The sequence below is a fragment of the Homo sapiens genome, chromosome 18, assembly GCF_000001405.40.
Source record: "Homo sapiens chromosome 18, GRCh38.p14 Primary Assembly".
Classification (NCBI taxonomy): Eukaryota; Metazoa; Chordata; class Mammalia; order Primates; family Hominidae; genus Homo; species Homo sapiens.
The window spans coordinates 69,239,981-69,257,205 of NC_000018.10; positions in this window are offsets into that span (position 1 = coordinate 69,239,981).

Genomic DNA, 17,225 nt, shown 5'->3' on the forward strand with positions numbered 1-17,225 from the left:
AAATAAATGCCCTCATCTCACTCTCCTGCCTTTCCCTGACCATCTGCTGGGATTTTCAGTGGCCAATAGGAAGGAGAGGAAAATCCCTGTTGATGTGGCAAGAAGTCAGCATCCTGGAGTGAGACAAGGTGAAGAAGGGCAGAACCAATATGGAATGCCAAACTGGAGATCCCCAGCACAGCTGCTTCCCAAAACAGTTTTTAAAAAATGAAAAACAAGACATTCTGTTGGTAAAAATATGAAGACTTCTGTTTACATTCTTTGCTTAAATGTATGTGTTTCTAGCTTAAAAAAAGAGTGTCTGTGAATCATTTTTATGAAGTGAAAATTATGAGAATTGAACTTGTTAATCTAAAAATTCTCTCTCCTTTTAAAAGTACAGTCTTATATTTAGAAAGAAATTTAACTAATGGGGTGATAAGGGCAGGCCGCAAGCCAAGAAAGTGATAAAAGGATTAACTAATCCAGGGCAAAAAGGTCTTTATTTTTTAAAGAGTCAGCATTAAATCTTCCAATAGCAAAAGTTCAGATTTAAAAAGGTGGGAGGCTGATGCACATCCTACACATGTACCCCGGAACTTAATAATAATAATGATGATAATAATAATAATAAATAATTACTAAACAATTTTTAAAAAGAAAAGAAAGTTGCGAGGGATGAATGTCTTCCCCAGTCCCCTATCCATTAGTTAAAGAATAATTTATAAATCTCTTTGTTTTCTAAAACACTTTCTTTCTAATTTTAAAGATAAATGTTAAATTCAATTTACATTTTAAAATGTGTTTAAAAAGCATACATTGTATAACAAAACTGAAAACTTTATTATTTTACCTTAATTGCTTTAGAAGAATATTTTGTTTTTCTTCGTGGAAATGAAAAGTTACTAGTAATACAAATTTGGAAATTTGGGACATATCAAATCTGCAAGTATTTGCATTTCTTAACTAAATGTAGACAAAATCTTAAATAAATGAAAGAGGAATTTAGAATTGTCATTGAAAGGCTTTAGGGTTTAAGTTAAAATTTTGTAAATTAACACAACTCTAAAAATTTGCATTTATAATCGAATTTATAGAATCTATAAAATAATATTACATTTAGTATTTATGTATACCTTGTAAACATTTTCTAAAATTGTTCAGTTAGTTTTTGGAAGTCAAAATTTGTCATAGAAATAGATTTATAATTTCCAATAGCCTCTAAAATTTTGGATTTCACAAGAGGGATTCATGTCGTTAAAATGAGAATGCTTAAAAAACAGACCTGTGAAGTAAAGTTGGATTTGTCACGTTAGTCAAAAGGAGATTTTTGACCAAACCTCTACAGCATATATTTGCATATACTGTTCTGGGCTAATCATGAGAAATTCCTAGAGAGGGATCATCTCCTGAATTTCCCTTCAGGAAATCTGAAGATTTTGACTGCTATTGCATCCAAACAAGACCACCTGAGAGAACCATTTGGAGTGATACATAGCAACCATTGGTACAATATAAATACTGTAACATGATAATGAATAGTATAACACATTAAATGTGAAAGAATTTTTTTTTTGAGACAGTGTCTTGTTCTCCTCCCACTTCAGCCTCCCAAGTAGCTGGGACTATAAGTATATGCCACCACACCCGGCTAATTTTTGTATTTTTTGTAGAGGCGAGGTCTCACTATGTTGTCCAGACTTGTCTCAAATTCATGAGTGCAAGTGATCGGCCCACCTCACCCTCCCAAAGTGCTGGGATTACAGGTGTGTGCCACTATGTCCGGCCGAAAAAGATATTTCACATCATAATATAAGAACAAGTTTGTGGTAATTCCATATCTCCAAGCTGAAACATGCTCTGGTGCCACAAAGCAGAGTATGTGTCCAAGGTTAATGGAATCATATCAAAAGTGCACGCAAAGGAAATCCCATTCAATGAGCTGTTGACAGTTGGAGCATCCAAAGATGAATAAAGACTTTAGTTAATTGAAAAATATCCAATCCATAAAGAATTGAGTTCATAATGATACTTCAAACAAAGAAAAGATAATTTAAAGGTATTTTAAATTATAAAATGTATAGTTGTTGAGTCTTTTACTTCTTCATATAGCTTAAAAATATTATAATAACAAAATATTGTGAGAGAACAGAAAAAACATGTGGAAGACTTTTCATCTGTATAAATGTATGTGTTTAAATGCCTAAATTATATAAAGCAAAAATAATTTGGCCTTTTAAAGTAATAGCATTGTTACTCTAATATAATAGCTGAATTGAGTAACTGATTTATTTAGACTTAGGAAATCATGATGAAAGTTCTCAATTTATAAAGAGTGTTGCAGCATCTAAGAGAACTGAGGTTTACTGCATCTGTATGAATAATTTATTCAATTCTAAAAATTATTTAGTATCTAGGAAAAACTTGTTTAAAAATCAGAGAATTGAAGTACTTTAAAAGGAAACAGAATTTTTAAAATATAGATTAATGTATGTAAAGATAGTTAATTAAGTTTGTGAATGAGATCAAAGATACCTTAAAAGTGATAGATGTTTAGTAGACATATATTGAATGATAACTTGTGCAAGGGAAATGAAAATCATCAAAGAGAACATCGAGATTTTCACCATTCTATGCCACTTTTCCTCATCAAGGGAAAGGGCTGACCAAGTCCACGAAAAAAGACTGGAAACCCCAGAGCCGGCTCTAAAGAACCCACAGCAACCTTGGGACCAGAGTGTGATGTGGAACCCCTGGTGGATCTTCCTCCCCATCACTTTTCATGACCTGCTCCCTCAACTCTTTTCCTGAGGTGGTTGATGACAAAAATCAATAGACTCATGATTACATAGGTGTAAACTTGTGGCTATATCACCACAAAATGAAGAAAATAAGAGAAAAAGTTTCTTTTCAATTATAAAGATATCTACAAGTCATGTAGAGCCACTTAGAGAAAAAGCAAAGTTAAGTTCTTTACAAAATCTTTTTCTGAGCAGAACTGAGAAGCCTGCCATGTGTACCTTATCAGCATCCCCACTTGTAAATACTAAGTGTAATTACTAAGTGTAATACTTGCTCACTTGTAAATACTAAGTGTATTGGTCCATTCTCATACTGCTAATAAAAACATACCTGAGACTGGGTAATTTATAATGGAGACAGGTTTGATTGACTCACTGTTCCACATGGCTGGGAGGCCTCAGGAAACTGACAATCACGGTGGAAAGCACCTCTTCACCTGCCAGCAGGGGACAGAATGAGTACCCAGCAAAGGAGAAAACCCTGTAAAACCATCAGATCTTATGAGAACTCACTCGCTATCATGAGAACAACATGGGGGAAACCACCCCCATGATTCAGTTATCTCCACCTAGTCCCCCTGGACACATGGGGATTATCACAATTCAAGGTGAGACCTGGGTGGGGACACAGAGTGAAACCATATCACTTAAAGGATATTAAGAAACAGGAGGATGATGTTCGCTTTGATACGGGCTGGAGAACATTCCCTCCATTTCCTTTCCAGTGTGTCATTCAAAGTAAACAACAGTCTTAAGTGCACTTATGAACCTAGATGGAAAAAAAACTAGTAATCAAATCCAACAGTGTGAAAAAAAAAATAGAAAAAACACCAATGCAGAGATGGCTCAAAATCTTAAAATCCATTTATATAATATACAAGAGTATCAGTTTAAAAGTTAAATAAATAAATAAATAAATAAATAAAGTATAAATAATGCAAAGGGAGAAATAATATCAAGTGCATTTAATCCAAATTATTTATTATTTTTGTTGCTGTATTGTCCAGTTTCAATATCAAGATTCTACCAGTTTGCTTTTGTTGTTTGATAAACCTAGGTGTCTGTAAATGCTTCATTTGACTAAAAGAATGTGGAGAGGTGTGTTCTGATGCCTTCCAGAGGCTTCACATCTTCTTTTCTATTCAATAAAGTAGAATTTTAAGAAGAATAAAATAAAATAAAATAAAATAAAATAAAATAAAATAAAATAAAATAAAATAAAAGCAAAGTAAACAACAGTCTCATATTAATTCTCAATCCATAGTACTTTTTTTCTCTTAACAAGAGTTTGCAGTCACTCTGTGCATCTCTGACACTGTATTCAGACAGGACCATAAATTCCAAAATGTGCTCTGTCACCTAGAAGCTCTATGTCAACTAGAACATTTGTTTATTTCTCTAAATAATGTTTCTTATCTAATAAGTGCTGCTAATATTAGTTACAGTTTCATAAAGTCAACAGAGATAATACGTGAGAAGCATTTGAATACTGTATGAATATAATAAGCTGTTGACTATAAAACTATTAATAAGTTTTATTAGAATTATTGCAATATATTGTGTTTTTTTAAACTTGCTGCCTCCTCACTGATAGTTAAGATCACTATGGGATGGAATAGTCTGTTTTTATTTCTGAAAGTCCAATATTAATACGGAGTACTTAATACTATGTATAAGTGAATAAATTCTTAAATTAATTAAATAATTAGCTGGTATAATTATCCTCCAAATACCTTCTAGTTACGGAATTATATACTCCAATAGTAAGAGGAATACTTTAACTTGGATGAAGAGATCATTGCAGTCAAAAATCTCAGAACACTTTAAATCCAAAGTAGCTTGTAGTTTTAAGCCTTTCTAAATAGAAAATATTCAAGATAATTTAATTCTAGCTTTAAAATAGAATCAGCTGTATTAAATTTAGGAAAACAAAATTGTTTTGTGATTGAGATAATTTATGTGGAAAAAAAACAAACCGGAATAAAGATGTAAGACATTATCCCATTATCCATATCTATCTCTCTCTCTACCTACCTACTTACCTACCTATCTAGTGTGCTCTAAACAATAAATATAAGGATGCTATAAAAATCAAATGTTTCTTATTAGTTTTAAAAACAATTTGATAAGTTTAAAAGTATATACACAGAGAGAGATAGAGAAAGAAAAAGAAAGGATATAGATGGTAGAGATACAGATGCAGATGGACACAGGGACAGGAATAAAGATATAGATTTTGAAGAATGCTTAAGTGAAACAATGGTCTTCAGCTGATAAGTATGTCATCATCCAGGTGGTGGGGATTCCACTTGGGAGATGCTATAATCATGAGGAACAATGTCTCATGTCAGTGTGTGTACAGCAACTCAAACTTACCTTAGGCTGAAACAGAAATCTGCAAAGCAGTGGTTAAGGTAAATGAATTGAATCTGGATTTGGGTGGTTCACGGATTTAGTTTCATTGCTGAGGGATCTCAGAGCCATGGCATTTTGATTTTTCTCGCCTTTCCTCATAGCTGCTGTGTGGCCACAAAATCACTGCTTTTCCTGTCACATCAAATATTCATTTTAGCCATGAAGAAGAGGCAGATTGAAGGCCAGAAAAATAAAAACACCAGACAAAACAAAAAGCATGAGTCTTGAGGTGCTCACTTTTGAGGAGCATTCCTAAAAATCCCACCCAGCAAGTTCCACTTACCACAGCCTTGGAGCCAGCCAAAGCTGGAAATGCCATTGGGAAATGTAGCTTTTTTAGCTGTCTGGATTTTCACTTCCAACAAAATCCCGGTACTGTTAGCAAGGAAAAGGTGGTGAATGGATATTGGATCAGCATTTTGCAATCTCTGCAACCATTCTTTTTCTTTGACATTGTTATGTTTTACTGAATTATTTACCAAAATGTCAAATAAAATATATCTATTATTTAAATACCAACCTTGGTAAGGTCACCAACTTTTTCAAAATTAATAAACTTTTTTAGACTAGCTTTAGGTTTAGCATAAAATTGAACATAAAGTATAGAGTTCCCAAACACCACTCCCCACCCCACTCACAAACATAGCCTCCCCCACTATCAACACCTCTCATTAGTTTGGTGCATTTGTTAACCATCAATGAGCCAATATATAGGGATGTCATTATCGGCCAGAGTTTATAGTTTTCTTGAACTTTCATTCTGTGTTGTACATTCTATGGGTTTTGACAGAAGTGTAATTATGTGTGTCGACTATTGTACTGTGAAACAGAATGGTTTCAATGCCCTAAAAATCCCCTGTGTTCCACCTATTCATCCCTCACTTTCCCAAAACCTCTGGCATCCACCGAACTTTTCACTGCCTCTGTAGCTTTGCTTTTTCCGGAATGTAATATACTCAGAGTCATATGGTTATGTAGTCTTTTCGTATTGACATCTTCACTTAGTACTATGCATTTACGGTTCCTGTGTGTTTCTGTGACTTGATAGCTTATTTCTTTTTAGTCTTGAACAATGTTCTATTGTACAGAAGTACCACAGTTTATTTGTTCACCTGCTGAAGGGCATTTTAATTGCTTCCAGGTTTTGACAATTATGAATAAAGCTGATATAAACATTTACATGCAGGTTTTTGTGTGGACATCTGTTTGACTACCATTTAATTTTAGTCACATTGCCTAACAAGTATTTGCAAAAGTGTCAGATGTTCAAACTCCTCTGGTGCTGAAGAGTAACTGAATTACAATATTTAACAATTTAAATTCATTTTTCATTAATAAAAAGTACAGTATTATTACCTATATCAAACGTAGTCCTCCACAGTAAAAGTGTGTATGGAATTACAGATTCAATAAAACATAAACATAAAATTACTTTTTATATCGAAAGTAGTTTCATAGTATCTAGATTCACTTCCGACATTGATATTAACATAAACACTTTGAAACATACTTGTGGCATGTCTTTTGATGTCAAGCTATGTATTGCTGTAATAACAAACACTGCTTTGAATTCCATTTCTAAGAGTTTATTGTTAATCTTATTTGCTTATTTCAGGTAAAAATCAGAAACCTTTTCTCTGAGTAAGTCTTCTCCCAAACATGTCTATGTTTAAGACTAATCCTTTTTTCACATGCCATTGGTTCCAAGTTTCTAATTTACTTCTATTATTTCTTATTTCATTTAAACCAAATCCAGATGCTTCATCCCACTATTTGAAGTCCACCAAGCCCTGCAATCCCTCAGTCAACTTATTTAATTGCACACAACTCCAAACTACTTTCTAATTGACTTATGCTATTTTTAGTGGCTTTGCATATTATTTCATTTTCCAGCTCATATGGTTCTTTCTCTCTGTTCCTTTTTCCCAGTCTAAATTTTTCAAATTCTTTAAGTACAAAAGAACCCTCTTATTGCCATTTCTCTAGGCATCCAATAAACTCTGCCTTAATACTTCATAAAACACCAGACGCTCTATTCAAACATCTACATTTTGGTCTATATCACACACGTAAACACTTAATATCCCATTTTACATTATTTTTAAGCTCTTTTCTGTATGTTTGTCTTCTCACCTTATCTAGACTAAGCTCCCCATGGCACCTAACACATTGTTGATCACATGGTAGATTTTTAATCAATACTTGCTGAGTTTTTTAATTAATTCACTGTCATTGCTTGTATATATGCCAATACAACTATTGTCTTTGTCATCTGCATTGTTTTATCTAGACGTCATACTCTGCCTCTAATCCATTTAATTCATACTTGTAGGTTCAACCCCATTGTAGATTCTGTAAACAATCTTCTTTTATTAGCAGGATGAATAAAAAGACTCCTAGGTCAATAATTTTCTCATGTAATGACTGTCTTTTGCTTTGACATTCATAGACTCACTTCTAATAGTCCTCCAGTAGCCAGGATTTTGGAATATTCTCTCTCTCTTCCTCCTCAGATATGCTGCTGACTTGATCCCCAAGTATTTCAGAGGTAAACTGCGCTTCTTTTCTGATGTTTCACGTTCCATGTGATGGGTTTATTTCTCCTGAGCAAGTCAGCTTCTTGAGAGAATGAACTGTATTCCTGTTAATACTATTCCTCACCTTACCTAGCAAAACTACAAGACACTAAATAAATGTTCATTAGATGAGTTAAAGCTTACCCAATATTTGCATTGGGGCTTCACTATTGCTGTTATGACTTGCACAGTCTTCATTTCTTTCTTCCATAGACCTGGATTTTGATTTGATTTGGTTTGGGAATTTATTAAAAGTGATTGCCTTTAACTTTTCTTTCCTATAATAAATACCTTAGAATTGACTTTTTTCAGTATTTGGAGCTTCAGCCTTCAGTGAGGACTTAGCTGGTCTCATTGCCAGCTGAGTCCTAATTCAGATACCCACCTCTGTTAGAGCAAATGAATGCAGTTTATGGAGTCAAAATTAAGCTACGGCAATTTTAGCACATTTTCTGTCTAAATATCACATTCCAAACTCAATCTTTATTGGGTTAGTGTATTAGTCTGTTTTCACATTGCTCTAAAGAACAACCTGAGACTAGGTAATTTATAGAGGAAAGAGGTTTAATTGACTCAAACACAGTTCGTACGGCTGGGGAGGCCTCAGGAAACTTACAGTTATGGCAGAAGGTGAAGGAGAAGCAAGCACCTTCTTCACAAGGTGGCAGAAGAGAGAGGCAGAGAGGAAGCGCAGCACTTTTGAACCATCAGATCTGGTGAGGACTCACTCACTATCATGAGAACTGGGAGAAACTGCCCGCATGATACAATCACCTCCCAACAGATTCCTCCCTATCACGTGGGGATTACAATTCCAGATGAGATTTGGGTAGGGACACAGAGCCAAACCATATCAGTTAATCTTTGAGCAAAATTGAACTGACGTGTTCATGGATTTCATAGCACCTTACTCCAGCAAGAGCCTATATATCATAAATTTCCTCATAGTAAAATTTGCTTAACAGTAACAGAGAATTTCTGCTCTCAGATATGTCTCAGCTCCACCTCGATCATGAACTAGCTCAGGATTTCAGATATGTTCTCAGACCTTTAAGCTTATTTCGCATATTCAATATTGCTTTTATTTAATCCTATTATGTGATTTCAGTATGATTTTATACCTAAGTGTAAGATTTTGGCAAAATGTTCTATTTCCCTTTTTCATTTCTCTCTTCTTAAAATGAAGATGGCATTTATCTAAAATATGTTTACTTCTAAAAAGATATCCTATTTGAGATTTTTAATTCAAAATGGGAAAAAAATCACATTTTCCAAAAATTTATTTGAAAGGTGAAGAATAAATTAAACAATGGTATTTTATTTTACTTCTTGAATCTTCTAAGTCTAAAGCATACCCAAAAGTAGATTCAGGATTTTAAAGTGTTCTTATTTAAAATGTTAATTTACGCTTTTTGTTTTGTTTTGTTTTGTTTTGTTTTTTGCTTTATCTTTGGCTACAAAAGATATTTCTAAAATGGTTTATGTTCTAAGGAATGCATTTCATGCCACTATGACAGGCTTTGCATTACAGATGACGTGAATGGAAAGAAAGCAGAACAAGCCAAGACAAATACAAACATGAATAATTTTAAATGCTAGAGGAAAATAAAGTATACGTAACCTCTGTATTTCTTTCAGAAGGAATATAACCTGAAAATACTGCTTTCAAAAGAAAAACAATGATCAAAATAATAACTTTAAATTGTATTACAATGTCTTATGCTCAAAACTTTTTGTTTCTATCTTGGCATAAAATAAACGATTAAATGAAGATTTAAATCATTCACCTAGCATTAAAACCTCAAGAGTCTAACACTACCATTTTTAGTTGTTTGCACATTTTTAAAGTAATGCATTTGTATATATTGTAATAACCTTATAAAACTGTCAGAAAATAGGCCTATTGTGTTCCTTCTTTTTAAATAATAAGACGAATGATTTCAAAGAAAAATTCCCAAGTATAACATTCAATAGCACAAGTTCTGTGAGCAATTCAGTGTGTTCACATATACTCATATATCTTTAAAGTAAAGCTTTATGAATATCATTATAGATGTTTTTAGCCTAATGTACACAGTCTTTCAAAGCATGCAAAATGCTTTTTAATTAATGTGAAATTATCTATAACATGGGAAGAAAATACAGCTTAATTTTCCTTTTCAGTTCATAAATTTTAAAAAAAGCAGTAAAAACATACAAAGTTTGTTATGTTCTTATTCCTTAATGGAATTATTATTTTCTTTAGATCCTGACTCATTTATAATTTGATCCATGATGGCACTTACAAAGAATAATTTGTAATTTCTTTCATTTAATTGTCCCCTTGAGGAAAAGAAATAAAAAGTTGCTTTTTCTATTGGCATAAGTGGTAATTGCAAATGCATTTGGACTCAGTGATTACTGTTTTTTACTCATTCAGCCATTTCTATTAATTGAGTGACAACCCATTCTGCAGTTGAAAGAGCTTTAATTATTTGGAAGTTGAAAACCAAACAATTGTGCGTGCGTGTGTGTAAAAGCACTGGTTTTATATGTTTTTATGTTGGTCTTTACCAAACTGAGAAGTGTGGAGATATTGTTAAGGTTTTTGTCTTTTACGCAATGTTATCGAAATGTAATTTACATAGCATGAAATTCACCCTTTTAAAGTGTACAGTTTCATGTTTTTTAGTATATTCAAAGAGTTGTGCAACTATCATCATAATCTAATTTTAGAACAATTTTTGCATTCCTAAAATAAAGACGAAACCAAGCAGCAGGTTTGCCAACTTGTCTGAGTCTGTTGAGACAGAACACCCACACACACAACAAGTTACATAAGGCAGCTTTATTACTTACAGATAGGCAGCGAGGGACAACAGATGTCTAGGATCCAGAATGAGCAGGTCCCCGAGGCTCAGGAAAGATGCCTGGGGTGGAGGGACTGCTGTCTGCCCATGCCCCACTTACACTGCAGCTGAGGGACCCCAAAAAGCAGCCCATCCTGGTTTTATATCTTAGGGGTTACTGGGCTAGAACACTGATGGATACACTGGGTTATAGTGTGTCCACCGGACTAAAGCATTCTCGGAGGGCCTGGAACAGAGCCCGACTATTCCAGGTGGCTCCTTTTTAATCTCAGGATGTTGCATTCCCACCACATTCTGTAGCTACTCTTAGGAGCTATAAGCAAGAAAGAGGGAGTACTGGGTCGGCCTGAGGCAGACCCAGGTGATTATAATTATAAGATTTAAGGGCTCAGGTGATTATAGTAGGCCTTCTCTGATTATCCTGTCTAATATCTTCATTCTAAGGCCCCTAATTTAATTAGATCTGCAAAGTCCCTTTTATCAGGCAACATATTTGCAGGCTTTGGGGACTCAAGCGTAGGCATCTCTTGGGGGCCATTCTACCTCTTACAAGTCAACAGTTTTCCTTGTCATTTATAGGAAGGTGACATACAGCATTGACCACAAACATTTAAAATTAATGAGATAGCTATACAATAATTTTTGTTTGTTGGTTGGTTTGTTTATTTTTTTATTTTATTTTATTATTATTATACTTTAAGTTTTAGGGTACATGTGCACAATGTGCAGGTTAGTTACATGTGTATACATGTGCCATGCTGGTGTGCTGCACCCATTAACTCGTCATTTAGCATTAGGTATGTCTCCTAATGCTATCCTTCCCCCCTCCCCCCACCCCACAACAGTCCCCAGAGTGTGATGTTCCCCTTCCTGTGTCCATGTGTTCTCATTGTTCAATTCCCACCTATGAGTGAGAACATGCGCTGTTTGGTTTTTTGTCCTTGCAATAGTTTACTGAGAATGATGATTTCCAGTTTCATCCATGTCCCTACAAAGGACATGAACTCATCATTTCTCATGGCTGCATAGTATTCCATGGTGTATATGTGCCACATTTTCTTAATCCAGTCTATCATTGTTGGACATTTGGGTGGTTCCAAGTCTTTGCTGTTGTGAATAGTGCCACAACAAACATACGTGTGCATGTGTCTTTATAGCAGCATGATTTATAGTCCTTTGGGTATATACCCAGTAATGGGATGGCTGGGTCAAATGGTATTTCTAGTTCTAGATCCCTGAGGAATCGCCACACTGTCTTCCACAAGGTTGAACTAGTTTACAGTCCCACCAACAGTGTAAAAGTGTTCCTATTTCTCCACATCTTCTCCAGCACCTGTTGCTTCCTGACGTTTTAATGATTGCCATTCTAACTGGTGTGAGATGGTATCTCATTGTGGTTTTGATTTGCATTTCTCTGATGGCCAGTGATGGTGAGCATTTTTTCATGTGTTTTTTGGCTGCATAAATGTCTTCTTTTGAGAAGTGTCTGTTCATGTCCTTCACCCACTTTTTGTTGGGGTTGTTTGTTTTTTCTTGTAAATTTGTTTGAGTTCATTGTAGATTCTGGATATTGGCCCTTTGTCAGATGAGTAAGTTGCGAAAAATTTCTCCCATTTTGTAGGTTGCCTGTTCACTCTGATGGTAGTTTGTTTTGCTGTGCAGAAGCTCTTTAGTTTAATTAGATCCCATTTGTCAACTTTGGCTTTTGTTGCCATTGCTTTTGGTGTTTTAGACATGAAGTCCTTGCCCATGCCTATGTCCCGAATGGTAATGCCTAGGTTTTCTTCTAGGGTTTTTATGGTTTTAGGTCTAACGTTTAAGTCTTTAATCCATCTTGAATTAATTTTTGTATAAGGTGTAAGGAAGGGATCCAGTTTCAGTTTTCTACATATGGCTAGCCAGTTTTCCCAGCACCATTTATTAAATAGGGAATCCTTTCCCTATAGCTTGTTTTTCTCAAGTTTGTCAAAGATCAGATAGTTGTAGATATGTGGCGTTATTTCTGAGGGCTCTGTTCTGTTCCATTGATCTATATCTCTGTTTTGGTAGCAGTACCATGCTGTTTTGGTTACTGTAGCCTTGTAGTATAGTTTGAAGTCAGGTAGCATGATGCCTCCAGCTTTGTGCTTTTGGCTTAGGATTGACTTGGTGATGCGGGCTCTTTTTTGGTTCCATATGAACTTTAAAGTAGTTTTTTTCCAATTCTGTGAAGAAAGTCATTGGTAGCTTGATGGGGATGGCATTGAATCTATAAATTACCTTGGGCAGTATGGCCATTTTCATGATATTGATTCTTCCTACCCATGAGCATGGAGTGTTCTTCCATTTGTTTGTATCCTCTTTTATTTCATTGAGCAGTGGTTTGTAGTTCTCCTTGAAGAGGTCCTTCACATCCCTTGTAAGTTGGATTCCTAGGTATTTTATTCTCTTTGAAGCAATTGTGAATGGGAGTTCACTCATGATTTTGCTCTCTGTCTGTTACTGGTGTATAAGAATGCTTGTGATTTTTGTACATTGATTTTGTATCCTGAGACTTTGCTGAAGTGGCTTATCAGCTTAAGGAGATTTTGGGCTGAGACAGTGGGGTTTTCTAGATATACAATCATGTCGTCTGCAAAGAGGGACAATTTGGCTTCCTCTTTTCCTAATTGAATACCCTTTATTTCCTTCTCCCGCCTCATTGTCCTGGCCAGAACCTCCAACACTATGTTGAATAGGAGTGGTGAGAGAGGGCATCGCTGTCTTGTACCAGTTTTCAAAGGGAATGCTTCCAGTTTTTGCCCATTCGGTATGATATTGGCTGTGGGTTTGTCATAGATGGCTCTTATTATTTTGAGATACGTCCCGCCAATACCTACTTTCTTGAGAGTTTTTAGCATGAAGGTTGTTGAATTTTGTCAAAGGCCTTTTCTGCATCTATTGAGATAATCATGTGGTTTTTGTCTTTGGTTCTGTTTATATGCTGGATTACATTTATTGATTTGCGTATATTGAACCAGCCTTGCATCCCAGGGATGAAGCCCACTTGATCATGGTGGATAAGCTTTTTGATGTGCTGCTGGATTCAGTTTGCCAGTATTTTATTGAGGATTTTGCATCAATGTTCATCAAGGATATTGGTCTAAAATTCTCTTTTTTGGTTGTGTCTCTGCCCGGCTTTGGTATCAGGATGATGCTGGCCTTATAAAATGAGTTAGGGAGGATTCCCTCTTTTTCTGTTGATGGGAATAGTTTCAGAAGGAATAGTACCAGCTCCTCCTTGTACCTCTGGTAGAATTCGGCTGTGAATCCATCTGGTCCTGGACTCTTTTTGGTTGGTAAGCTATTGATTACTGCCACAATTTCAGAGCCTGTTATTGGTCTATTCAGAGATTCAACTTCTTCCTGGTTTAGTCTTGGGAGTGTGTTTGTGTCGAAGAATTTATCCATTTCTTCTAGATTTTCTAGTTTACTTGCGTAGAGGTGTTGTAGTATTCTCTGATGGTAGTTTGTATTTCTGCGGGATCAATGGTGATATCCCCTTTATCATTTTTTATTGCGTCTATTTGATTCTTCTCTCTTTTTTTCTTTATTAGTCTTGCTAGCGGTCTATCAATTTTGTTGATCCTTTCAAAAAACCAGCTCCTGGATTCATTAATTTTTTGAAGGGTTTTTTATGTCTCTATTTCCTTCAGTTCTGCTCTGATTTTAGTTATTTATTGCCTTCTGCTAGCTTTTGAATGTGTTTGCTCTTGCTTTTCTAGTTCTTTTAATTGTGATGTTAGGGTGTCAATTTTGGATCTTTCCTGCTTTCTCTTGTGGGCATTTAGTGCTATAAATTTCCCTCTACACACTGCTTTGAATGTGTCCCAGAGATTCTGCTATGTTGTGTCTTTGTTCTCATTGGTTTCAAAGAACATCTTTATTTCTGCCTTCATTTCGTTATGTACCCAGTAGTCATTCAGGAGCAGGTTGTTCAGTTTCCATTTGGTTGAGTGGTTTTTAGTGAGTTTCTTAATCCTGAGTTCTAGTCTGATTGCACTGTGGTCTGAGAGAGAGTTTCTTATAATTTCTGATCTTTTACATTTGCTGAGGAGAGCTTTACTTCCAACTATGTGGTCAATTTTGGAATAGGTGTGGTGTGGTGCTGAAAAAAAATGTATATTCTGTTAATTTGGGGTGGAGAGTTCTGTAGATGTTTATTAGGTCCACTTGGTGCAGAGCTGAGTTTAATTCCTGGATATCCTTGTTAACTTTCTGTCTCATTGATCTGTCTAATGTTGACAGTGGGGTGTTAAAGTCTCCCATTATTATTGTGTGGGAGTCTAAGTCTCTTTGTAGGTCACTCGGGACTTGCTTTATGAATCTGGGTGCTCTTGTATTGGGTGCATATATATTTAGGATAGTTAGCTCTTCTTGTTGAATAACCAATACAGAGAAGTGCTTAAAGGAGCTGATGGAGCTGAAAACCAAGGCTCGAGAACTACGTGAAGAATGCAGAAGCCTCAGGAGCCAATGCGATCAACTGGAAGAAAGGGTATCAGTGATGGAAGATGAAATGAATGAAATGAAGTGAGAAGGGAAGTTTAGAGAAAAAAGAATAAAAAGAAACAAACAAAGCCTCCAAGAAATATGGGACTATGTGAAAAGACCAAATCTATGTCTGATTGGTGTACCTGAAAGTGACGGGGAGAATGGAACCAAGTTGGAAAACACTCTGCAGGATATTATCCAGGAGAACTTCCCCAACCTAGCAAGGCAGGCCAACATTCGGGCCAAGATTCAGGAAATACAGAGAACGTCACAAAGATACTCCTCGAGAAGAGCAACTCCAAGACATATAATTGTCAGATTCACCAAAGTTGAAATGAAGGAAAAAATGTTAAGGGCAGCCAGAGAGAAAGGTCGGGTTACCCACAAAGGGAAGCCCATCAGACTAACAGCGGATCTCTCAGCAGAAACTCTACAAGCCAGAAGAGAGTGGGGGCCAATATTCAACATTCTTAAAGAAAAGAATTTTCAACCCAGAATTTCATATCCAGCCAAACTAAGCTTCATAAATGAAGGAGAAATAAAATACTTTACAGACAAGCAAATGCTGAGAGATTTTGTCACCACCAGGCCTGCCCTAAAAGAGCTCCTGAAGGAAGCACTAAACATGGAAAGGAACAACCAGTACCAGCCGCTGCAAAATCATGCCAAAATGTAAAGACCATCGAGACTAGGAAGAAACTGCATCAACCAACGAGCAAAATAACCAGCTAACATCATAATGACAGGATCAAATTCACACATAACAATATTAACTTTCAATGTAAATGGACTAAATGCTCCAATTAAAAGACACAGACTGTCAAATTGGCTAAAAAGTCAAGACCCATCAATGTGCTGTATTCAGGAAACCCATCTCACGTGCAGAGACACACATAGGCTCAAAATAAAAGGATGGAGGAAGATCTACCAAGCAAATGGAAAACAAACAAAGGCAGGGGTTGCAATCCTAGTCTCTAATAAAACAGACTTTAAATCAACAAAGATCAAAAGAGACAAAGAAGACCATTACATAATGGTAAAGGGATTGCTGGTTGTTAACAGTCAAAAAGTTGGTTTAAATGCAATATATATGTTTATTTAACTGATGTTATTTTTATGCCTGTTGTCTCTACCTGTCTTCTTACAATTAATATAAATTTTTGGACAGGTTCCAGAGGACTGATCTGATAAACTCTCAGCTTCCTTCTTTGTGCTCCTGGTCACACTGCCCAACTTCCACACACAGGTTCTATTTCCAGAAGAAGTTTACACAAGCTCATTTGGAAATGGACCCCAGGTTTGACGTACACTTTCTAAGTGTACTTTTCCCCTTATTCTTCCCCTTGCCTCAGCTACTCCTGTCTTCATAGTTGTTGGCTTCTGGCTGGAAGCTGCTAGCACACTTGCTTCGAATTCAACAACATGGAGCGTGTGATCCCATGGCTGCTGATCTCTCAGGTCTGGTAGGAGTTCCAAAAGATAGCCATGTGGGCTGTCAGCTCAGCTACCCAGTTGATTTCTACACTTTCCATGGTACCTGTGTAAAATATACAGGATCCATTCCTTGCCATTGCAGGATTTCAGGAAGCCAGGGTGTCTGTGAGCTCCTGGAAAGAGATCAGTTCTTTCCAACCCCTAAAGACCCCAAACTTTGTGAGGCCTCCTGTCTTGTTTCTTTCCTCATTTTCTCAGGATATACCCTGCCAAGGGCAGAAGAACCACAGTGACAGATAGCTTCTCAACCATCTGTGTCTGTGTCTCACCCTTGTCCTGAGCCTAGCATCTTCATGTTGTGGGAGAGATATACAATAGAAGCCCTCAGTCCCTACCAGGTCACCAAATCCAACAAGGCTCACAGCGGGGCCAGTGCCCTTTGAATTGAGTTTAGTGATGGCCCATTGCCTCCCTAACATGCGAACAAGGGCAGAGTGAAGTATGGTGAGGGGAGTGGTATCTGCAGCCTACCTGGCAGGGAGAAAAGGCTCACTCATTTATATTTTGAAATACTGTCATCCCAACTACATATAAAATATTTAAATTTAGATGCTTGTCTTATCTTTTTTCATTGGAATAATAAACCCACTCAAAAATGT